Source organism: Homo sapiens, chromosome 9 (genome assembly GCF_000001405.40).
Source record: "Homo sapiens chromosome 9, GRCh38.p14 Primary Assembly".
NCBI classification, from domain to species: Eukaryota; Metazoa; Chordata; class Mammalia; order Primates; family Hominidae; genus Homo; species Homo sapiens.
Genome location: NC_000009.12, coordinates 72,113,017 through 72,139,175, shown reverse-complemented (window position 1 = coordinate 72,139,175; position 26,159 = coordinate 72,113,017). Strand labels below are relative to the sequence as shown.

At 41.6% G+C, this 26,159-nt stretch overlaps 1 protein-coding gene across 4 annotated transcripts in view, besides 1 other annotated feature; it reads right to left on the bottom strand.

Moving 5' to 3' along the window:
• The window catches only part of GDA (guanine deaminase), a 145,262-nt gene extending 120,694 nt beyond the window's left edge, over nucleotides 1–24,568 (bottom strand). For all 4 annotated transcript variants that reach the window (XM_017015338.2, NM_001242507.3, XM_047424104.1 and 1 more), the window contains exon 1: nucleotides 24,343–24,568. The gene's annotated coding sequence lies outside the window, so the exon portion shown is untranslated. The remainder of the gene's footprint in view (nucleotides 1–24,342) is intronic.
• Nucleotides 9,129–9,423: a silencer, noted in NCBI's record as "tiled region #10456; K562 Repressive non-DNase unmatched - State 15:Elon". NCBI's record gives its function as "represses a minimal TATA promoter and a strong SV40 promoter by Sharpr-MPRA in K562 cells {active_cell/tissue: K562}" and the evidence as "EXISTENCE:reporter gene assay evidence [ECO:0000049][PMID:27701403]".

Sequence of the window (26,159 nt, the reverse complement as noted above, 5' to 3'; positions counted from 1 at the left end):
AGTCATATAAAAAAAGCCCTACTTTGATCATTTCTGTTCATCAAATTTTTACTTGCTAACCTTAAGGTAAAGTGCTTGAAAGAGGAATAGCAGCCCATGCCTTGTCCATATTTTTAGATATTCTTAGATGTGTTAGGATGATGGACTATGACCATAAAAACAATATAACACGAAATGCATGGAAAGATACAACGATACAGATGTTTCATAAATGCAATAAAAACTTAATTACATAAATTATTCTCTTTCCCTAGTCAATTAAATATGATTGATGTTGCTGTTGTCACTGTTGTTTAATGTGCTGTTACCAGTTCTCGCCTTTCCCCAATCTCTTACTTTCTCATTCATTTAGTCTATGAACATTTGTTGAGCGCCTTGTATATGCCAGGTATTCTGTTAAGCCCTAGAAATTGAAAGATTTTAAAAAGTCATGACTCTTATCCTTAAGAAGCTTATAAGATAATGGCAGAAACCGACAGGCACACATGTGGCTGTGATAAACTGTCTGCAGGTGTCTCTTCCCCCTTCAACTCCTGCATACTCCATCGACCCATCATGGGGCTCTGTGAGGAGCAGATCTGTCTCCTTTACTGCTATGGAAACAGCGTTTAATGCAGTACCTGGCATGCTGTAGACACTCAATAGATGATTGTTAGATGTGTTAAGTGCAACAGTAGAAGTATGCAAGAAATATTGATTCCTGCCTCATAAGAAGAGTAGATGCATACAGAGAAGTTGGTCTGGGGCAGTGATTTTCAACTAAGAGCGGTTCTGCTCCCTGAGAGAGCAGGAGCACCATCATCTTGGACAAACACCACCACTTTAAGTTCCAGCTCCCTTTCTAGCCTCATGCGTTTCAAGGCAATCACTTCTCTTCTAACTACAAGCCGCCAGAAAGAGCAGACAGTAAAACACAGATAAAACAGCTTGGGCACAGAGGGAGGTGGTGGGAAGTCTCTTGGGTAACTGCCAAACTTCACCCTCATACAATGGGCCCCAGTAAAACAGTGGTCCTTAATAAGCACATTCCTTCTCCTTCAGGTGCACTAAGATAGGGAAGCCAAAAGCAGACTCGGGGGTATGCCTGCAGCTGCAGACAGATGTATGGGAACAGATACACAACTCTCCCTCCCATATAAGCACAACAAAGAGACACAGAAGCAGTCTCAGCCTCTGATAAACTCTCCCACCCTGAATCCTTAAAAACTCAGTCTGTAAGAGAGTGTGGCGTTGACCTAACTCGGCCAGAAGCCTTTCTCAGGCTTGTTTAAAATAAACCTGTCTCTGTTGACTGTAGAGCCACCCTTCGTGTTTCTCTCCTCTTTATTTAATTCTTACACTCCCCAGGGAGCACTTGGCAATGTCTGAAAATAATTTTGGTTGTAACAGTTGAAGGTGGGGGGGTGGGTTATGACTGGCATCTAATAAGAAAAAAACAGGGATCTAAGATGTTTAGCAGCACAGCCTCCCACCACAAAGTTATTCAGTCCAAAATGTCAATAGTGCTGAGATTGAAAACCTTAGTGTGGGGTAAGATCCTCAGTTATAGGATCTTAAATGTTCAGTGATCTTTGAGCTTCTAGAAGCACCACAGAGTCTTAGAAAATTGTAGAGTTAAAAAGGATCTTAGGGCCAGGCACGGTGGCTCACGCTTGTAATCCCAGCACTTTGGAAGGCTGAGGCGGGCACATCACAAGGTCAGGAGATCGAGACCATCCTGGCTAACACAGTGAAACCCATCTCTACTAAAAATACAAAAAAATTAGCCGGGCGTGGTGGCAGGAGACTGTAGTCCCAGCTACTCGGGAGGCTGAGGCAGGAGAATGGTGTGAACCCGGGAGGTGGAGCTTGCAGTGAGCTGAGATGGCACCACTGCACTCCAGCCTGGGCAGACAGAGTGAGACTCCGTCTCAAAAAAAAAAAAAAAAAAAAAGAAAAAAAGAAAAGGATCCTAATTTTTTTTTTTTTTAATTTATTTATTTATTTTTTAATTTTTAAGGATCCTAAATTTTAAAGGATCTTAAATTTCACTCCAATTCCCCAATGAAATCATTTGTATTATTCTTGGAAGATGGTCTGCTATTAATTTTCAGAGGCAGAAAGTTTAGTTCTTTGAGTGATGATCATTTCCTTTGTTAGTTTTAATATTCATATGTATGTTTTTGTTGTTGTTGTTGTTGTTGTTTTCTTTTTGAGACGGAGTCTCACCCTGTCTGCCAAGGACCAAGGCTGGAGTGCAATGGCGCAATCTCCACTCACTGCAAGTTCCGCCTCCTGGGTTCACGCCATTCTCCTGCCTCAGCCTCCCGGGTAGCTGGGACTACAGGCACCTGCCACCATGCCCGGCTAATTTTTTGTATTTTTACTAGAGATGGGGTTTCACTGTGTTAGCCAGGATGGTGTCAATCTCCTGACCTCGTGATCCGCCCACCTCGGCCTACCAAAGTCCTGGGATTACAGGCATAAGCCACCGTGCCCAGCCTCATATGTATATTTTAATGAGCCAAAAGTTGCATTTGAAAATGTCACTGTTTGTGCTAGGTAGCACTTTCTGGGGCAAACAAGAATAAACCAGTATTCTCTCACATGTCAATCTTCCAGGATTTGAAAATGGTGGTGATTGCCCTAAGACTCTTTTTCCCCATCAGATTCATCATTCTACTATTTTTTAAGGCAATTTAGAAGAATAGTACAGTGTATACTAGAAAATATTCTATATGAACAACTGATAAAGTGTGAGATGACAGGTACTTCAGGACTGATCTCCCAGGCACTGCATTAAGCAATATTGAATTTCACATAATCACATAATGAGAACATTGTTTGCATTTGAATTTTTAATCCTTCTTAAATCTAGGACACAGGCTCAGTTTGGTATAAAAAATATTTAACATTTCTGTAGCCTTGTTAATTTATCTTTTTAAAAGAGACAAGAGACCTCAGAGTTAGAACTTTCTATAGGCCACAGTATCTAGCTAGAATTCAATAACATTATTTTGTTCATAATACATTTATGTTCATGGTTTTCTTCTATTTATAGTAAGAGTTGCTGGCCTTTTATAGATTTGGTATAGCTAGTTTCTTATTTATGGCTTTATGTAAAGTTTTCTACTTAAATAATTGAGTTTAAGTCTGAAAAATGGGATTTAAAGAAAAAAGTTAATTGCAATACAGATTTACAGATAGAACTAAATCAATGTAGGTGCCATTTGTAATACCCGAAGTTAGAGAAATAAATGTCAAACTATGGTCATAGAATCAAGCAGGCCCCGCGTGGTGGCTCATGCCTGTAATCCCAGCACTTTGGGAGGCCAAGGAGGGTCAATCACCTGACGTCAGGAGTTCAAGAGCAGCCCGGCCAACATGGTAAAACCCCGTCTCCACTGAAGACACGAAAATTAGCTAGGCATAGTGGGGGGTGCCTATAATCCCAGCTACCCAGGATGATCTTGATCTCCTGACCTCCTGATCTGCCCACCTCGGCCTCCCAAAGTGCTGGATTACAGGCGTGAGTCACCGCGCCAGGCCAACTATTCTTAAAGTCACAAGAGCTTGATCGAGGACAGAAATACTACTTTGTTCATACTTCTATCTCCAGTAAGCAGCACACCTTCCTCGTAATAGATGCCGTTAGGTGAAGATAGGAGAGGAAAGCGAATAAGAGCCTGGGATTTGGAATCAGACAAAGCTGAATTTGGGTCCTGGATCTGCTACTTATGACTATGTGATCTTGTCATGTGGCATCATCTTAAATCCCACTTTCTCAGCATGAGAATACAAATGGCTACTTTATTTCACTGTTAGAATTAAGTAAAATAGTACACATATAATTCTTGGCATAGTAGCTAGAATATAAAATGTGCTCAAAATATTATTGCTATTTTTTATTATTTGATCATGTGATTACTTTCGTTGACTGAAATTGAAAACGCACACACACACACACACACACACGTACGTAGGCCATGATGTTCAGAATCATACTTTAATTCATCTTTGGTTAAAAAAAAAAGTACTTATTTGTAAGAATGTAAAAATGAATTGATCTCGCCAATAAATAGCTAACTGTGGATATTGATGTAGAGAAAAAAATGAGTGGAGTAGGCTATATTTGGCTAACATTGTCTTCCCTGATCTATAGAACCTTGTGGTTCCACAGGAATATTGCACAACAGGGAAGTAACCAAGAAGAAACTGAAGAGTTAATTGCATATCATTGACCAATATGTCCAACCACTTCTTTTCCCAGTACCATGATTTGCCCAAAGGAGCTTGGTTGACTGGAGTCAGCTCTGTACTAACAGTTCCAGGACTGCCACCAGGCAAAATTGTCAAGTGGAAGCTCTTCTACTTCTTCATATGGCTCACAAGTATTAATTCAATTCTATGTACTCTTTTTTACCCAACTTCTTTCCCAATAAATTTTGAGGCAGAATCTGTGCAGGCTTACAACACCATAAAAAACAAGTGCCGGCCAGGTGCAGTGGCTCACGCCTGTAATCCCAGCACTTTGGGAGGCTGAGGCAGGTGGATCACCTGAGGTCAGGAGTTCCAGGCCAGCCTGACCAACATGGTGAAACCCCAATCTCTACTAAAAATAAAAAAAAATAGCTGGGCATGGTGGTGGGCGCCTGTAATCCCAGCTACTCATGTGGCTGGGGCAGGAGAATCTCTTGAACCCAGGAGGCAGAGGTTGCAGTGAGCCGAGATCACACCACTGCACTCCAGCCTGGGTGACAAGTGCAAAACTCTGTCTAAGAAAAAAAAAAAAAGTTGGCGGGGGAGGCCTTCCTGGAGCACAGTAGGTTTTATGGAGAGTTTTCAGAAATACAAATTTAGGTTTCACCCTCAGTCAGGGAGCTAGTTAGAGCAGGCATAGTACCTTGCATTTTACAGATGAAGGAATTGTGATAAACATTAAATGTCATGTTTAAGATGACACTAGCTCTCTAAGGTTCTTGGGCCTTTGACAAGTAGTTCAAGGCCCATTTCATGGCACTATTTGGTCTTTTATTTGATGAAACTACTTCAGCCCAAAACTGGCGTTCATCCCTATTTGCCAAGCCCCTTCCCTTTCCCTACTCCCTCCACTAATTCACTTATTCATGATCCTCCCGATGTTTGTCCCACCAATGATTTTCACTCTTTACACAAGAAGTAGAGAATCTGATAGGTTCTTACACACTACATGAGAAACACAGGGAGAGTTCAATGTGTAACCCAGATGATCAGATTGCTAAACCTTGGAACCTGATGATAGCACACTCCTGTGATAGCTCAAATTCCAATATAATAGGACTGGGGATAGGTTTCAGTCCGCACAGTGGGTTCTCCCAGCTCACATCTTGAACCTTGCACTAAAGCAGCACTGCATCATACAGAGGACCCCATTCATAGGGTCACAGCAGTATTCTATGACAGTGGAATTTCTAGCATTGTTTGGGAGAATATTTCTAAGAAGCCAGTTTATGTGAGAAGAAATAAGAGGGCTTTCCCAATTCTCCTTACATTGTAACCAGAGTGAACATCTACTCTGCCCAGGAGAAATCAGAATGATGGAAGGCTGTGGCATTTTGCAACAAATGATCAGGGAATAATTGCTATGTGGGCTAAGGTCACTCTGCTGATCTAAAATCGAGCCTTGCCAGCTCGACATTCCCAAAGAACAAAGTTCACATAGATCAAGGAAGTCCAAGTAGTGTCAAAACCATTCACATTGCTGATTTTTAAAATGGAAAAGAATTCATGTAATAAAATAGCTGACCTGCTAGAACCTGCAAATCAATAGATAATATAGATTAAGTACTGAAAAATAAAGCTCAGAGACTGCTTCCTAAGCTAAAATTATTATTATTATTATTATTATTTTTTTTTTTTTTTTTTTTTTTAGACAGAGTCTTGCTTTGTCACCTGGCTGGAGTGCAGTGGCGCTATCTCGGTTCACTACAACCTCCGCCTCCTGGATTCAAGCGATTCCCCTGCCTCAGCCTCCCAAGTAGCTGGGACTACAGGCATGCACTACCATGGCTGGCTAATTTTTTTGTATTTTAGTAGAGACAGAGTTTCACGATGTTGGCCGGGATGGTCTTGATCTCCTGACCTCGTGATCCACCCACCTCGGCCTCCCAAAGTGCTGGAATTATAGGTGTGAGCCACTGCACCTGGCCAACTAAAATTATTTCTTGTTACCAGAGAAGAATAATAGTTCACCTGAAATTGATTATTACACAGGGGATACCCAACTGCCTCTTTTTCTTCCCTGGTTTCACTTTGTCCTTGGCGGTAATGGAACCCATCTCATAGTCAAGTGCAAATATCCAAACTGCCCAGCATAAGGGGGTCTCATAAGCCAGAGTCACAAATCTTACAACTTAGTCGGGTACAGGGATATTGTTCTGATTAGTGTTGGAGTAGTGGGAGGTGAGGGAACTCCAGAAACTATAACTACTTAGGGTCCAGTAAAACCTCAATAGTCTGGGAGTCTCTCAGTGTTTCTGGACAACCATAGCAGTGCTTTATGGGGCATTTTTGGGGGTACAGGTCTTGACACCAACAGCATCCTCTTGACTGATTTGGAAATCTTCAGAGTGATGACATGATTTAAAAAATAGGCTAAGATATCTGCACTTGTCATTTACCATCAAATTGGGCAGGACAGAAGACATGCCAAACAAGTCTTCCCTCTCTTCACTGTGTACTACTGTCTGTCACAGCAATTTTGTCACTGGTATGAGGCATTGTTTTTTCCATGGTCCTAGGAGCCATCCTACAGTGTGCACTCACCCTCCCTCAGGTCCCTGCCAGGGTATTATTATATCCTGTGACATGGGAGAGTGTTCTCATATTGGTAAATTCTTTTGTATTCAAACTTTCTTGTACTCACCATGGTTGGGCACCCCACCGTGGTTGGGCACCCTCAGAATCCACTCTCAGGCATATTCTCCCAGTTAGTTAATCCTGAAATTGGACCTAGAAGGGTGAGACATGGTTTGGCTTTGTTCCCACCCAAATCTCATTTTGAATTGTAACTTGCACAATTCCCATGTGTCACAGGAGGAACCCAGTGGGAGGTGATTAAATTATAGGGGCAGGTATTTCCTGCACTGTTCTCATGATAGTGAATGAGTCTCATAAGATCTGATGGTTTTAAAAGGAGCAGTTCCCGTGCAGAAACTCTGTCTCTTTGCCTGCCACCATCCATGTAAGATATGACTTGCTCCTTCTTGCCTTCCGTCATGATTGTGAAGCCTTCTCAGCCATGTGGAAACGTAATTCCATTAAACATCTTTTTCTTTCCAGGCTTGGGTATGTCTTTATCAGCAGCATGAAAACAGACTAATATAAAGGGGTATAGTTCTTTTCCTCCCATAGCAGTCGAGCATTTTCTTGACACAGTTACTTTATGACTTAACCCTAGTTATTGACCTAGCAGTGAGGAGGGAAGATGGGTGACACCCTGAAGAGAGTACATGATGTCTTGTAGAGAGGCCTTGGAATTGATGTGTGTGTGTTTGTGTGTGTGTGTGTCTGTGCACGTGGTGTGTTTCTAGCCCTCCATAAAGAGAAGTGGGCCATTTGTGCAGGCTCAGAGGGTTCAGGGCTGATATAATTTGGGTAATTGTCCCTTCCAAATCTCATGTTGAAATGTAATTCCCAGTGTTGGAGATGGGGCCTGGTGGGAGGTGACTGGATCGTGGGGGTGGATGCTCATAAATGGCTCAGCACCATTCCCTTGGTGATAAGTTCTTGCTCATTCAGTTCGCTGCCTTTGGTATTTCTCTATAGCTACAAAAGAATGGTCTAATGCAAGGGCAATCTGGAGACTCAAGATTCTTGGCAGGGAGGGGCGTCAACACAGATGTGCCCTTCCCTGTGTCCGTGCCCATTTTTCCCAATGCTTTTGGCATAGCAGACCTACTTCAGCTACTCTTACAATTAAATTCTGGCCTGGATCTTCCTATTTGAACCCCTTTCCCCTTCCAAATTAAGAGATGAGAGTCTCTTGGTGTGTTTCCAGGGAGGCCCTCTGGCCTTCCCACTTAGAATTTATTTAATGGCTGATTAATCAATCTCAGCTCTTTGCTACCTTTTCCTAGGGCATCAGTGGAACTTAACCACAGCCAACCAATTGCACTGTCCTTGTGATGACTATTGCTCCCTTATTTCTCAAATGCCTGACACATGGCAGCTGCTAGTGCATCCTCTTCCATGGGTATACATCCCAGGGTGTACATCCAATGGAAGGAGGTTATGGGTTAAGGCAAAATTGTGAATAAGGATAGGAGGTGAAGATAGCAGATGAAAAAATTGGAAACCCCTGAGTGTTTGTCCAGGGACTCTTATCTGCCTGGATTATTTTCCCCATATCCTTTACCTAATTAAACTCTAAACTTACCCTTCACAACTCAGCTCACACAAGAATCAATTTCACTCTAAAGTCTTCATGGACCCTTTCCAAGCCTTAGACTGGATTGGTTGCCTGCCTTGTTATTCCTGTAACTCTTTAGCCACCTCAATCATATAACAACACACTAAGCATCTGCTCACATATGTCTATTTCAATACACCAGTGGTTTTCAACCTCAGACATACATGTGGAAGTGGAGTTTGGCCACTAATACATTATAAAAGTGTTAAGGAGAACAAGAATAGACTTTGCCTCTTCCACTAACCAGTGGTGTGGACTTCAGCAAGATGTTGAGACTCAGTAGGACTCAGCTGCTTCTTATGTAATGTTCTTAATGGTCACTTTTTTGTAAGCCAAGCATTAGATCTCACCAAAAACTTCTTCATTTACATGCACTAAGTTATGAGTATTAGGTGGGCTTACACCTCCTGGTAGTATCTGTTTTGTAAAACAGCTCTTAACTACATAAATAAGCCACTAAATGATATTGAAAGATATTTGGAACAGAGGCCCACTTTTTAGTTTTTATTTTTGGCTTACTTTCACCTGTATTCCTTCATGATGAATAAAGGAAAACCACATGGCATCTTATTTCAGAAAGGTGATGACCTCCTAATGTGAATGCAGGGTTAGAATAAGGGATTCTGTGTCTCCAGGCTATGAGTGTTTATTGTCTAACTTTCTCTCAGTGACTGCTCAGTGCATTGTGCTGGGGGCAGGTGACAGAGGCCAGGGGAAATATTTCCAATGCCCATCCAACAACGTCTGGCAAGCACAAGTCATCTCCAGGATGGGAAACTTCCAGGGGATGAAATTCTCTGGCTCAAAGGTTGGTCTTATCTCATCTTGTTGGCAAGATTGAGTGTCCTGGCCCGGGTCTGACCTAACCTGGGACTTTAAATACACAACTCATTCTGTTAACTCCCCTGCCCTTCCTTCATGCTTACCAAGCAACCCTCTGGTTAATGTTTAGCTTCTCATATAGATGGCACTAATAGAGAGTCATTGGGGCAGTTACATTTCTCGTGGTCAGCTAAATACCCTAGCAGTTTGGGCTTTCCATGGAATCTGTTGTGAGCAAAGTGAACATCATCGGTCTCCCTTTACCTGGGAAATCCTGGGACCCTGGCAATACTGCATCTGTGGAACTATAAGATTGAAGGCCAGAATATGGGATGTGAAAGTACTCTGCAATAGATACTATGAACCCTGTGTGGGTCCCAACAAGTAATTTTTCTTGAATGACTCCCCAGCCTTATCCTATGTGTGATTCAACACCCATTGAGTCCTAACTTGGACTGTAGAAACAGTTGGAGGATGTCCACGGGTCTGGAGGTGGAGTGAGGCGAGCAAACTCAGGATGCCATGGCCAACATGCCAAGAGGAGTGAAGCACAGCCCGTGGAGAACGCAGCCGTGCCTGGCTCATTCTCTGGTTTACTCATGGAGAGAGGCTGCTGGTCTATTCTGTTGAAAGTTTGAATATTTTTTTTAATCAAAAGAAAGAGACTGGGCACAGTGGCTCACGCCTGTAATCCTAGCACTTTGGGAGGCCAAGGCAGGTGGATAACCTGAGGTCAGGATTTCAAGACCAGCCTAGTCAACATGGCAAAACCCCATCTGTACTAAAAATACAAAAATTAGCGGGATGTGGTGGCGCATGCCTGTAATCTCAGCTATTCAGGAGGCTGAGGCAGGAGAATCACTTGAACCCAGGGGGCAGAGGTTGCAGTGAGCCCAGATCAGGCCACTTCACTTCAGCCTGGGCAAAACAGCGAAACTCTGTCAAAAAAAAAAAGAAAAGAAAGAAAAAATTGGAGTAATTTTATTCCATCTCTCATTGCCAGGCAAGGACATAACTTCAGACACCCTAAAAAAAAAACTCCAGTGAGACTCCACCCAATCTGAGAAGTGTATTTGTATATTTTTGATTGTATTGCTATTCACTATTTTATTTTTATTACCACGTATTGCATTCTAAAAATAAGCTAGGTGCTAGTCAGAAAAGTGAATCAGGCTCAAGCCCTGCTTATATAAAGATGCTGGCTGCCAGCCTGTCTCACAGGACTACTGTGATGGTTTCGTGCTGGCTTGAAGACTGGCAAAGAACTCCCTGAAGGAGCTGTCAAAATCTTAATACAAATAATTCACTCTAGTTACACAGACATTATATGTTTATTACATGATATTATATATATGTTACATATATATATCAACATTGGGAAGTGAATAATAGTATCTATCTTCCATTATTATTGCAAAGGTAATGGCTATAAAATGCCTAGCATGTGGCAAGTGCTCAAAAATGATAGTAGTTATTTTAAAATCATTATCATTATTACTATTATAACTAGCAAAGATATTGCCAATGTAAAGAAAATTTTTCAGAAGAATGATAAGAAAGCTGCCCAACACACTCCCACCCCACCACACTCTATCACTCCATTATTTGAATCACTTACTTGAAATATGAGGTGAGTATAGAAGAGAACACAGAATAACGAATAAACACACTTGCCACTTTCACTAAGATATGGAGGTAGCTTTATAAATATGATAGTAATAGGTCTGGAAGCAGCAACACAACCCTAATTTAATGTTTACTTTTTTGCCACTTGTATTAATCTCATCCTGATATGAAATAATTTGCCATTTATCATAAGCCCTTTCTCTGTGAGGACGTGGATAACTAACAACAAAATCCAGTAAACAGGAAAACCTGGAAGTCTGGTTCAAATGAAACCACTAAGCAAAATAGGTGATTAAGGTAGACTTCAAAGTCCTCTCTAATAAATGGTTTACAGCCTCCAACAGATAAGAAAAAGAACAAACTGGCCAAAAGTAAAAGATAAACAGATACATAAAAACTGAATGTGGAAAACAATCTAATCTCTTTTGGAGGAAACAACTTCCTAGGTCATCAGTTCATAGTGACAACACCTTATTTTTGCATAGAAGAGTAGAGCCAGTGCCCAGTCTCATGCATTATTTCATTTGATCCTCACGACAAGACAGATAACATCAGAGAATATCCAAGAACTAGCTTGAAAGGAAAGACCAACTAAACCCACAGACATACTGTTGATTCTCCCAGAAAAGATTTTCTGATTTTCTTTCTTTTTTTTTTTTTTTTGAGACAGAGTCTCTCTCTGTCGCCCAGGCTGGAGTGCAGTGGAGTGATCTTGGCTCACTGCAACCTCCACCTCCTGGGTTCAAGCGATTCTCCTGCCTCAGCCTCCTGAGTAGCTGGGACTACAGACGCACACCACCACACCTAACTAATTTTTGTCTTTTTAGTAGAGACAGGGTTTCACCATGTTGGCCAGGATTGTCTCAATCGCTTGACCTCATGATCCGCCCACCTCCGCCTTCCAAAGTGCTGGGATTACAGGTGTGAGCCACCGCGCCCAGCCCAGGAAGGATTTTCTTTCAGATCCTTTTGGTTCTGTTTTGGTTTGTTTATTTGTTTCTTCATGTCAGAAGAGATCTATTTTCCCATCAACCCATTTAATTTTTTTAAAACTGGTTTTGATTCAACCTAGTTCAAATACTTATTTTTAAAAACAGAATATAATTTCTACTCTACTCCGTTTAGTAGTCCATTACATATAGCAAGTGTCATGCTGTGTGAACAAGATCATGCCAACTCTGACATAAGTAATTACAAATCTAGGATGCAACAGGCTTCCCAATAATTTTGAGCCAGATAGATGGTAAGTTTGGAGCAAGAGGGTCATGGAGAATATTTTAATCTGGGAAGTAACCTAGGAATGGCTGTGTCTTCTCTCTCTGAGCTGATCTATCGCGGCTAGTAATTTGCTCAAGGATGGCACCAGATACTCTCAGAAAAGGTCAGGCAGTCAAAGGACAAATCTGAATAGGGAGAAAAAACTAACCAGGTTCTGCCGGGTGTGGTGGCTCACGCATGTAATCCCAACACTTTCGGAGACTGAGTCAGGTGGATCACCTGAGGTCAGGCGCTCAAGACCAGCCTGGCCAACATGATGAAACCCCGTCTCTACTAAAATTACAAAAATTAGCTGGGCCTGGTGGCAGGTGCCTGTAGTCCCAGCTACTTGGGAGGCTGAGGTAGGAGAATCACTTGACCCCGGGAGGCAGAGGTTGCAGTGAGCCGAGATCGCGCCGCTGCACTCCAGCCTAGGTGACAGAATGAGACCCTGTCTCAAAAAAAAAAAAAAAAAAGACTAACCAGGTTCTCAGTCTCCCTTTACAGTTCTTGTTGTCATCCTAGTTCCTATAATTCCTATCTTGTTCCAGTTGGCAAGCACATGTGAATCAGATTTAAAGCTGAGATGCCACGTGTCTATCACTACAGTTCATGGCTGCTACTCAACATCTGGCAAGTCTGTGAGTTGTTAACCTTTATTAGCTAAACCGGCACAGTCTCTGGTGTATAGCAGATGCTCAAAAAATGTCTGTTGGATGGGTGGATGAATACATGGACAGATAAACGAACAAACTAAGTACTTGGAACTATAATAAAGAAAATATCGTGTTTAGCCAGATCAGAATACTCCAAGGGGTCTGCCTTTATTTAAAAACATTCCTGGCCAGGTGCAGTGGCTCACGTCCGTAATCCCATCACTTTGGATTGCCTGAGGTCAGGAGTTCGAGACCAGCCTGGCCAACATGGTGAAACCCCGTCTGTACTAAAAATACAAAAAATTAGCCGGGTGTAGTGGCACATGCCTCTAGTCCTAGCTACTCAGGAGGCCGAGGCAGGAGAATCACTTGAACCCAGGAGGCAGAGGTTGCAGTGAGCCGAGATCATGGCACTGCACTCCAGCCTGGGCAACAGAGCGAGACTCTGTCTCAAACAAACAAACAAACAAACAAATTTCCTGAACCTGTCGTTTACCTTCCAAAATCATAGAAAAGCCATATCTACTATGTAATATTATATAATATATTTTCCTTATAAATAACTGGGAGGATCAGGACATTGGGGTGGATGGGGACAAAGTTAGAACTTTCCAGGGTCTAGAAAACATGGGGAAAAGACTCATTCAATTTTAGAAGCTAGAGAAACCAAAGTGCCCCACAATTCTGCCATTGACCTGCTGCTAAATCTTGTTGTTGAATGGGCTGGTAAATATTGATACCACTATATCATTAATTTATTGTTTTAATATTTTGATAACAATATATCATATAGTTGGCGTCATTTTTAATTCTAAGTACATGATTTTATTTTATGCCTATAAAATGTTATTTTTAAGAAAGAATCAGCCAAGCACAGTGGCTCATGCCTGTAATCCCAGCACTTTGGGAGTCTGAGGCGGGAGGATCACTTGAGCCTGGGGAGGTCAAGGTTGCAGTGTGTCGTGATCGTGCCACTGCACTCCAACCTGAGTGACAGAGCGAGATCCTGTCAAAGAAAAAGAAAGAGAGAGAGAGAGAGGAAGGAAGGGAGGGAGGGAGGGAGGGAGTAAAGGAAGGAAGGAAGGAAGAAAGGAAGGAATGAAGGAAGGAAGGATCCTTCTCTGGCCTCTCCAGGCTGCCAAAGAAGCCCACGGAACAGAAGCCACCAGAAACCAGTGCTTCAAAGGCAAGACTGCAGTTTGCACACTTCATTTCCACTCTCATCCATTTGGTCAGAACTTAGGCACATGGCCACACCTCACTGCAAAGGAGACTGGTAAATGTAGTCTTTATCTAGATCAATGCCATTAATAAAGAATCCTTTGAGTCCTCTCTCCCAAATCATCCAGGATTCAAACATAAAATATCGGCAGCCCTAAAAATAGTATTCATTTGTTTTAAAGAAGGTAATCACTGTTTTATGATTTTGGAGGTTAAAACCCTGCTCACCAGTGGTTTCCAAATAAGACTGATCACCAGGGCCAGGCGCGATGGCTCAAGCCTGTAATCTCAGCACTTTGGGAGGCCGAGGCGGGTGGATCACAAGGTCAGGAGTTCGAGACCAGCCTGACCACCATGGTGAAACCCCATCTCTACTAAAAATACAAAAATTAGCCAGGCTGATTATTCCCATAACCCATTAGCCACCTCCATCATATAACAACATACTAAGCAACACTGTCTTCATTTTAGAAATTAAAAAAAAAGAAAACTCCTTCAAGGAGCTTATTTAGTGGATGTCATACACCTTGTAACTAATGTAACTAGGAAGGCAGCCTGTTTGACAGGTGCCAACATCTAGGTGCTTTCCACCAAGACTTCTCAACACTCTTTTAAAAATTAAAGCCCTTTTTTCTACATATTATTGGTGATTTCTCCACAATCAAGACAAACAGAGCAGATACTAAATTCCACTGGTTCTCATTGGTTCTAAAGACATATGTCTCACATTTTAACATCACTGAAATCTGAGTGTAAATTATGATCAATGGCATATTATAGTTTGAGTAGCAGCATTTTTTGCTTTCTTGGTGACACATAAAATACTGAGGCGTTTGCAATTTATAAAGTGTCTTCTATGTTATAAAATGTGGTGCAACAGAAACTTCTCTGATATTTAACACTTTGCTTTCTTTGATACTGCTGTTAATAGCTCTTGTAGCTACAAGGAAGGTGCCATGGCTGATACAAATAAAGAGGTAAAGGGCATAGGTGGTTTCCACTATATAGCCTGGAAAAGTTCTTTTCTTTTCCATGTTTTCTCTTCTTTTTTCCTGTTGCTAGAGGTTGGCCTTTTTGGTATGTCCTAGTAGATCTTGGTCCTTGTTTTCCTCTCTGCAAAACTATGGTACAATACTCTCAAGTGTTCCACTCACCTAATGGCAGCACAGCCTTCAATTTTTAAATGTATCCTCACTGGCTTCTCACTGTCTTTGGACCTCTTCTACTTAATCAGAGTTTTTCACGCAAAACAATTGCTTGATGCAATTTTAACTAAATTAAATTTAATTAAATGAATTCTTTGTTTCATTATATTTATTTAGAAACTGCACAAGTTCTATTTCACAACAGCACAGGGAAAAGCAAGTAAAACAGCTCTGGGTTGGGTGCAGTGGCTCACACCTATAATCCCAGCACTTTGGAAAGCCAAGGCAGGTGGATCACTTGAGGTCGAGAGTTCGAGACCAGCCTGACCAACATGGAGAAATCCTGTCTCTACTAAAAATACAAAATTAGCTGGGCGTGGTGGTGCATGCCTGTATTCCCAACTACTCGGGAGGCTGAGGCAGGAGAATCGCTTGAACCCGGGAGATGGAGGCTGCAGTGAGCTGAGATCACGCCATTGCACTCCAGCCTGGGCAACAAGAGCGAAATTCTGTCTCAAAAAAAAAAAAAAAAAAAAAAGGCCGGGCATGGTGGCTTACGCCTGTCATCCCAGCACTTTGAGAGGCCAAGGCAGGCGGATCACAAGGTCAGGAGATCAAGACCCTCCTGGCTAACACGGTGAAACCATGTCTCTACTAAAAATACAAAAAATTAGCCAGGTGTGGTGGCGGGTGCCTGTAGTCCCAGCTATTTGGGAGGCTGAGGCAGGAGAATGGCGTGAACCTGGGAGGCGGAGCTTGCAGTGAGCCGAGATCGCGCCACTGCACTCCAGCCTGGGCAACAGAGCAAGACTCGGTCTCAAAAAAAAAAAAAAAAGGGAAGAAAAAAGAAAACAAACAGCTCTGAGAGTGGGAAGTATTCTCGATCATGGGGAGATAAGCAAGAAGAATAACTGCCTTGAAGAAAGATAAGTAATTAGGGAACAAAAGAGAACTTCTAAAAAATTTATAAATACTGCTTTGGTGAGATCGAGAAGGTGCCTTCTTAAAATATGAATACACAGTCAAAGAAAATAATGATTAGAAAACATAAATTCTAGAATTTAAAAGCTTTTCAAGAAGAGTTCTGAAAGGTCATGGACATCTCCCAAAATGTCAAAGTGGATTCTTCTCCCCACTCCCACCTGCTGGGCAGAGCTTATCCTTGGAGCAGGACAGTAAAGGTTCTGGAAGGTGGCCACTACAAAAAAGGGAAATGATAGAAAGGCTGGATAATCTTGAAGACATGGGGGAGGCACCTGATTCCATTGTCATCAGTGAAAAAGAAAGACTGTAAAGTTGGATGGAAAGGATTACTCTTGATCCCATTATAAACTCTTTTGTTTCTCTCAGGTGTCTGTGTGTGTGTGTGTGTGTGTGTGTGTGTGTAAATGTATACATTTTTTCCAAAAGCAATGAAAATAAGAGATAAAGAAGTGCAAGAGGAAGACAAAGAGTAATCTTGTGTACATAGTGTGTTCCATTACATACGTTAACTCTCCGTTCCATAAAGTTGCAGAGTTACAATATTAATAATAGGCTGCATTTAACAGAGAACTTTCTATGTGCAAGACATTCTGCCAAGTACTTTCCAAGTATTCTTTCATTTAATGCTTAGAATGCCCCTATCAAATAATAATGATTATTTTCCCCATCTTACAGTTGAGGAAAGGAAGGTTCAAAGAGATGAATGCCCAGAGCCCAGAGATGCATAGTTCTAGCTGCTCATGCCAAGAATTGAGCCCAGCAATCTGAGTCTAAATAAGATGCTCTCAACATTTCACTGCTCTGCCCCCATGCCTGTGAGAAACGTAAAATCAGATGTCAATTAGGCAGAAGATTCTCATGTCTGAAAGTCAGGATAGAGACCTGGGCTCCAGGTAGAATTGTGGGCTTGATCAGCAAATGGAAGTAAAGTTGTATGAGTGGATGAAATCCCAGGACAGTACTTGTAATCAGAAGAGGAGATCTAAGGCAGGTCTGATCTATCTCAACACATAAGGGGTAGACAGTGAAAAAGAAGCAAACTTCAACCCCAGAGATTTATAAAATAGGAGAAAAACTAGCAAAGTGGTATTTCATGAAAGTCCATGGAAGTCAATGTTTCAAGGAGAGGGCTGTCAACAGAGTCAGTGGCTGCTCTAAGTCAAGTTATTAAAGGGACTCAGATTCTTTGACGTTAGAAACAAGAAGGTAATTGGTGATGTTGCCAAGAGCAGTTTCAGTGATGTCACTGGGTGTATGCCAAGCTTCCATGCGTTGAGATGTGCAAAGTACAGTGGAGATAGCAAGTGTATACAAGTCTTTCAGGAAGTTTGTCTATGATGAGGCAGAGAGATAATGATTGGGTTAAAGAGGGAGCTTTTTGGAGACAAACAAGGGCAGAATAACACAATGATTAAGACAGAATCTTTTTTTCTTGTTTTGAGGCTGACTTTCGCTCTTGTCACCCAGGCTGGAGTGCAATGGCGCGATCTCAGCTCACTGCAACCTCCGCCTCCTGGGTTCAAGTGATTCTCCTGCCTCAGCCTCCCGAGTAGCTGGGATTACAGGCGCCTGCCACCACGCCCAGCTAATTTTTGTATTTTTAGTAGAGACGGGATTCACCATGTTGGCCAGGCTGGTCTTGAACTCCTGACCTCAGGTGATCCACCCGCTTTGGCTTCCCAAAGTGCTGGGACTACAGGTGTGAGCCACTGCGCCCAGCCAAGATAGAATCTTATGCTCAGACAGAGTTTGGTTTGAATCCCTGCTTTGCCACACGCATGTTGCATAATCTTGGTTGGTGCTTATCCTTTTGGAGTTTCATTTCCCTCATGTGCATAATGTAGAAAACAACATCAACCGTAAAAAGAGGTTGAGAAAAATAATATATTTAAGAGGCTTCAGTACCTACCATGTTTGGTACGAACTAAATGCTTAGTGAATGGGAGTTGCCATTTTATTAATGCTATTTATATGCTTCTCGAGAGGGTATTGAAACGCCTGTGGTTGAAGTAAGAACCTGAAGATAAAGGAGAGGGGACTCATTAATGGAGTAAAGTCCCCAAGAAGGCAGGGGAAGATGAGATCCAGAGCACAAGTAGAGAAATTAACCCTAGAAAGAAGAGTGGATTGGTGAGTGCTGAGGTTGGTAAGTTTGCAGGGTCGGTGGTGCAAAGTAGAGTCATTTTCTGCCTGCTGCCTTCTGTTTCCCGAATGATGCTGAAGTGTTGAAGTCATGTGTTAAAGGGTAGGTGGTGGAAGCATAGGCTTGATATGAGTAGAAAAATTTAAATATCTACCACGGAGAGCACATGGCCTTATAAAACATGTTAGAGAAGTTGGATCATGTGCATCAAATGTTAACATAGTAAGCATGTTAACAATGTCACATTTTATGCTTACTAAATCACTTGATTTATTTCTTACCTGCAGTGATATGGATTGACCAAAGAAAACAAGAAAAGACCCCACTGCTTCTAAACGACTCCTGATTTCATTGTCACATGACAAATGCCATTTTTCTTAGAGTTTTAAAAGAATGCTGTGGACAGGTGCAGTGGCTCATGCCTGTAATCCCAGCACTTTGGGAGGCTGAGGCGGGCGGATCAACTGAGGTCAAGAGTTTGAGAACAGCCTGGCCAACATGGTGAAAGCTTGTCTCTGCTAAAAATATTTTTTAAAAATTAGCTGGGCGTGGTAGTGCAAGCCTGTAGTCCCAGCTACTTGGGGAGGCCAAGGCAGGAGAATCGCTTGAACCCAGGAGGCAGAGGTTGCAGTGAGCCGAGATCGTGCCACCACACTCTAGCCTAGGTGACAGAGGGAGACTCTATCTCAAAAAAAAAAAAAAGAATGCTGCATCTCTTTGGGAAAATTATTGCTGTAGTTTGTAATTATTGATATGACTCATAAATCCTATTGATAAGTGCACTTACACTGATCTTTAAATAGCACTGGCAAGGAGAGAGAAGCAGGCAAGCAGCTTTGAAACACATTAAGTTCCTCTTCTTGCTTATGGGCTATACAAGGTTAAAGATTAACTTTAGATACAATAGATTATATTTTGAAGGTCAGCTCTAAGAGATGTGGTTCCACAATTTACACAGAAATGTGACTCTTTTTAATAATCTTTAAAATATTATTTCAAAACGTATATCTTTTCTGCAGAAGTCACAGAGGAAAAACATCCCATGGTCTCTCATAAAAAATATGACTAATTGGTTCTCTGTGCTTACTTTGTTTGATAAAGTGTATATCTTGCTCAAGCCATCATTATTTACCAAAATAAATAATGACATTTGATTAGGAGTAATCAAATGAAAAGAATTTTTTTCCAAATCACTCACTTAAAAGAAAATTTATTCTCTTTCTTATCCCCAAAACAACACGTTAAGAATAGAAAAACATCTTAAAAATCAGCTACCTTCTCATTATAGTGAAATAATGATTGTTCATATTTTGTTATATATTCTTTCAGCATTTTTTCCAAACATTTACACATATCCATGTATTTAGCAAAAGGGATAATTTTGAAATTTTTTTTGAGACAGGGTCTCACTCTGTCATCCAGGCTTAAGAGCAGTGGCCCGATCACAGCTCACTGTAGCCTCGACCTCCCTAAGTGATCCTCCCACTCAGACTCCTGACTAGCTAGGACTACAGGCGTGAGCCACCACATCCAGCTAATTTTTGTATTTTTAGTAGAGATGTGGTTTTGCCATGTTGGCCAGGCTGGTCTCAAACTCCTGAGCTCATGGAATCTGCCCCCCTCGGCCTCCTGAAGTGCTGGGATTGCAGGTGTGAGCCGCTGCGCCTGGCCCAAATATGCTAACATTTAGAAAGCTAATCCTTTATTCCTAAACATTATTTCCTCCACTGACATTTTTTTTCCTAGTTGATATTACAACTTACCATAGGATAACATCTTTATAGATAATTTTTGGCATATAACTCATATTTTTTATTTATATTCCTAGAAACCTTAATGCTGGGTTAAAGACTATGTTTTCTTTTTTAATCATTTGCTTATCAATTTCATTAATATTTAGTGACCATTCAATAAATATGTAAAACTTAATTATACATTTATTGAATTATCAGTGGTCTTGGCACTAGGAATACTCAAGTGGGACAAATACAGTCCCTGTACTAAATGATCCTGAGGCGTAGGAAAGCAGACAGAAAGTAAGCAATCCTTTGTCATGCAATGTTAAAATGAAAACCAGAAAGACCACAGGAAGTGCATTCTCACCATCAGTATATGAGCGTGCCTATTTCTTTACATGCTCATCAACTTTAATACTAAACATAAGAAAAAAAATTGCCAGTTTGATGGATGAAAATGTTTCTCAGGGTAATTTGCATTTCTGTGATTACTGATGAAACTGAACATTTTTTTCATGTATTTATACTGCTCTCACATATTTTGGGGAAAAATGCTGGTTAAAAATCTGTGCAATTGTTTGGCTTTTCTATGCATCTCCTAGAGCTTTATTTTTCTTTTCTATTAAATTTCCACAACTCTTTAGAGATAGAGTTGAAATAATCAATATCGTGATAAAAACATATTTATAGTGTGACTTTAGAGTTCGCTTGCCTTTATAGCACTGTAAGTATGAATGAGGAAGAAATTTTTATACAGTACATTTGAGTGGACATTACCATAAATTATCAAGGTATTTAGTGGTTCTAAAGAAAGACGTAAGGAATTAATTTTCTTTCTTTGAATGCCTGAATTTACATTCTTTTTTTTTTTTTTTTTTTTTTTTGAGGTGGAGTCTCTTGCTCTGTCGCCCAGGCTGGAGTGCAGTGGTGCGATCTCAGCTCACTGCAAGCTCCGCCTCCCGGGTTCACGCCATTCTCCTGCCTCAGCCTCCCGAGTAGCTGGGACTACAGGCGCCTGCCACCATGCCCGCCTAATTTTTTGTATTTTTAGTGGAGACGGGGTTTCACCATGTTAGCCAGGATGGTCTTGATCTCCTGACCTCATGATCCGCCCGCCTCAGCCTCCCAAAGTGCTGGGATTACAGGCGTGAGCCACCGCGCCTGGCCTGAATTTATATTCTTAATATCTTTCGCCTACATATATACTTCTATTTATTCATTCAACCAATATTTTGTCCAGTACAAAGACCCCTAGAATTATCCCGGAGTAGCTGACCTCAGTGACTGTTTATTGACAACCAAATCCTCCATTCTTTTGTGCTTGCAGAACCCACTTTTGTTCCATTAGCTATCCCTCAAAGAAAGTAACTATCACCCAACTCAGTGGTACCTCCTCGCCAATTGGGAGGTGGATGCCCCATTCATTTTGCCACAGTGATTGGGCTGGTTCTCAACATGTGACACATTTTAACCAGTGAGATGAGGGAGAAGTCCACTGGATGTCCTCTGGGAAAGATTTCCTCACTTTTACAAAAGGTGAACACAGAAAGAGAGCATCTCTTCTTATGTTGTTAAACACTGGCATGTCTCCTTGTGATATCTAGAACCATGACTACCACCTTGAAATCAAAGCCACCCTATTGCATATGGCTGACTGATGCACTTGAGTTTGAGCTTACCCTTGGCAACATTACTTCACCTCTCTGAATTCAGTCTCTTCATTGGGAGATGGGGAGAAAGAGAGAGATTGTTCTGTATTTCTCAAATTATCATTTTATAAAGGTCATTTTAACATTAAAAAAAGACATACACTCAGGAAAAAAATCAAAGGTTGAATTAATTAAACCTTTTTTAAAACCTTAATATTCTGTCTTATTTTCTTTATTTCTTTGTGAAGTGAAAAATTCCTACAGACTCTGGATAGAGTCCAGAGTCCATTTAATTAAACAAGTCATATACTCATAAAACAAATAATGATGTGAATGATAGACTAGATTAAGAAAATGTGGCACATATACACAATGGAATACTATGCAGCCATAAAAATGATGAGTTCATGTCCTTTGTAGGGACAAGGATGAAGCTGGAAACCATCATTCTGAGCAAACTATCTCAAGGACAGAAAACCAAACACTGCATGTTCTCACTCATAGGTGGGAAATTGAACAATGAGAACACTTGGACACAGGATGGGGAACATCACACACTGGGGCCTGTCGTGGGGTGGTGGGAGGGGGGAGGGATAGCATTAGGAGATATACCTAATGTAAATGATGAGTTAATGGGTGCAGCACACCAACATGGCACATGTATACATATGTAACAAACCTGCACGTTGTGCACATGTACCCTAGAACTTAAAGTATAATAAAAATAAATAAATAAATAAATAACGATATGAATATATTTTTAGTTCTATATAAGATAAGGGTTCTGAAAAATCAGAGATCATTGAGGATAGAAAACCTGGGGAGGCCGGGCGCGGTGGCTCACGCCTGTAATCCCAGCACTTTGGGAGGCCGAGGCAGGTGGATCACGAGGTCAAGAGATGGAGACCATCCTGGCCAACCAACGTAGTGAAACTCCGTCTCTACTAAAAATACAAAAATTAGCTGGGCATGGTGGCGCACACCTGTAGTCCTACCTACTCGGAAGGCTGAGGCAGGAGAATTGCTTGAACCCAGGAGGCGGAGGTTGCAGTGAGCCGAGATTGTGCCACTGCACTCCAGTGGGTAACAGAGCAAGACTCCATCTCAAAAAAAAAAAAAAAAGGCTGGGGAAACTTCATAGAGGTGTAGAGTCATTTAGCCATGTGGCATGTGGTCAGTAGGCATTGTAAGGTGCTTTGTAATCTACTTTGACTTGATGCTTATATAGGAAACACAGAACAAAATAAGGAACATATTTCATAAATTTTTTTTTTTTGAGACAGTTTCATTCTTGTTGCCCAGGCTGGAGTGCAATGGCATGATCTCGGCTCACCGCAACCTCCCCCTCCCAGGTTCAAGTGATTCTCCTGCCTCAGCCTCCCGAGTAGCTGGGATTACAGGCATGCACCATCACAGCCAGCTAATTTTTTGTACTTTTAGTAGAGACGGGTTTCTCCATGTTGGTCAGGCTGGTCTCGAACTCCCAACCTCAGGTGATCAGCTCACCTCGGCCTCCCAAAGTGCTGGGATTACAGGCGTGAGCCACCACACCCAGCCCAATAGTTATTGTCTCTTACTATTATGTTGTAGGTAAAACCTTGGCATATGAAAATAGTAACTATTGCTCTCATCTGTGGAAGATCTGCTCATTTGCATCTCCCCCTTTTTCAGCAGCTCAACCTTGTTGAGTTATGATTTACATTTGTACAAGTTTCTCATTTTGTTAAATTAATATTCAAGATCAGCAGTTTACTTAGGATCAATTTACTTAGGATAATTGTCTGTATTTTACGTTTTTGTGGTATTACTTTTTAAGTATAAGTTAGGGATCTTAACCAATAAGGCGTAGTTTCTACAAATAAAGCAGACTTAGATGAATCTTGACTTGGAAATACTTTAGACCAAATGAATTATGTTTCTTTGATGCAAATTTTAAATAACAAATATTCTATCTTGTACATCACAATACAATTCAGATTTTTTCTTAATTATAGCTGATCTCCTTCACACCTAGCCCAAGTTTTTAAGACATGTGGATTGAGAAGTCTACGTTCAAAAAGTTCTTTTCTTCCAGGAGGATGTCTGAGTAAGTGCCACAGAATTAACATTCTGTTAATACTCTATAATGGGTCAACTCATTCCCTTTTAGTCCAGGTTCATAATGTAACCTGTGCACCACAGAAAAGAAATCCGTATATCATTGGATTGAAACTAGTCAGAAACTTTTAGACACACCTGGTGATTTTAACTGGGTCAAGCAACACTGGACAATGGTTTTTTGAGAATGGCTTGAGCTGTTCCATAACCCTTGAGTGCACAAGAACAAACTTCTTAATTTTTCTAAATCAAATTAATTATGGCTTGTTTTTTCCACAGCCTGCCCCAACCAGCACTGGGAGGTCATAAAATGCCACTTAATTTTCTGGGCCTTTATCCCCTGCTCCTCCCGGTAGATCATACACAAACTCCTACTTGCTCAATCCACAGGGTGGGTTAAGGCCATAGTGGCAGTTCCTGTGATATACCAGGTCCATCAAAAATAAACTTACCTCTGTACCAGGCACACACTCTCTCTCTGTCCCATTAAGCCCCTGGGACAGGGCTGTGGTACTCAGTATGGATTCTCTAGGCATCCCTCTTTGGGGTGCTGTAGAGAGCAGAAAGCAAGTCCTCACCTCTGGTGGAACCACCACCCTCTCTCCTTATAGTGCTGGGGAGTCCAGTTCTTCTGAGTTGGGCTGCTGCCCTCTTCTTCAAACTTCGGAGTGCTTCCTGTCTCAGACAATATAGGTTTTTGTACCCCTAAGCCTGGATTTTGAAAGCAAAGAAGGAAGGGGAAATACAAAAAAAATTAGCCGGGCGTTGTAGCGGGTGCCTGTAGTCCCGGCTACTCAGGAGACTGAGGCGGGAGAATGGCGTGAACCCGGGAGGCGGAGCTTGCAGTCAGACTGAGGCGGGAGAATGGCGTGAACCCGGGAGGCGGAGCTTGCAGTCAGCCGAGATCGCGCCACTGCACTCCAGCCTGGGCGACAGAGCGAGACTCCGTCTCAAAAAAAAAAAAAAAAAAAAAAAAAGGAAGGGGAAGTTTAGCCCTGTAAGCTCAGGTCTGACTTTTTGAGCATTTTGTGACAAAAACATTACACAATTTAAATTTGCCTGTTAAGTTATAGCACAGCACTAGAATATCAATAAATCCTTATTCTACATTTGTTTACACAAAAGCCCCCCTGCCAAGACCTTACCTTTTTCACTGTGTAGCTCACATATTTAGAAGGGTATCTGGTGCTTAGTAGGTACCCAAAAATTGATCAATGAATTGGGCCTACATATAGTAGGTTTATTGGCCTACATATGCTAGCTCTCTGAAAAAGAAAGCTAATTGGCCTAAGTATGTTAGCTTTCTCAGAAAGAAGGAGTTGCGGGAATGCAAGGAAGAGAGGAAGAGTGGAGTAGAGGTTGGAGGAAAGGAAAGGGCAGGAGATAAAGAAATAAATAATTATTGAGTACCTACCGTGTTTTGGCTCCTTCTTGTTACTGCATTTAATCCCCAGAAAATAACCACATAAACATTCTCATCCACATTTCATGGGGGAGGAAAGAGTGATTCAATGATTTATTAAATAATTTATCCAAGGCTGGGCGCAGTGGCTCACACCTGTAATCCCAGCACTTTGGGAGGCCGAGGAGGGTGGATCACCTGAGGTTGGGAGTTCAAGACCAGCCTGACCAACATGGAGAAACCCCGTCTCTACTAAAAATACAAAATTAGCTGGGCATGGTGGCACATGCCTGTAATCCCAGCTACTTGGGACGCTGAGGCAGGAGAATTGCTTGAACCCAGTAGGCAGAAGTTGTGGTGAGCCAAGATCGTGCCATTGCACTTCAGCCTGGGCAACAAGAGTGAAACTCTGTCTCAAATAATAATAATAATAATAATTTATCCAAGATGACTGAGAGCTAAGATGTAAAAGGATATACCTCTGAATTCAATATCCTACTAATTTCTACAACTTTACCACTTCCTGACTGTCCAAATATTTCCAATTAATCTGGTGATAACTTGAGACTCTGTCTGAAGCTGCCTGCATTTGAAGATTTAAAATAACATAAAAATGCTCCTGTGTTTGTCCTGAGGTCACCAAGATGTGAAATGTAAGCAGCTGGAAGCCAGTTCTGAGAGATGGTTTCCATGGTGGCCAACAGTGATTGGAGCCCAGCATGACTGCCATTTTGTCTCTTCAGTGACAGTTAAAATGCCCTCAGTTAACTAGTTCTGGGCATTCTAATGGCTCTGAACACACTCTTCTAAAGGAAAGTGCTCCCCGGTTACTCTCTAATAACCTTTTACTGACAGGAGGCCTTTTATTAATACCAGTGATTTTTCAACCGCTGGTTCAGGGTTTCTGAACCCCTAAGAGGACTAGGCATCTGGATGTTCATGCTGTCTGGGGGAAATTATACATGACTATTCCTTAAGTTGAGAAAGAGTACT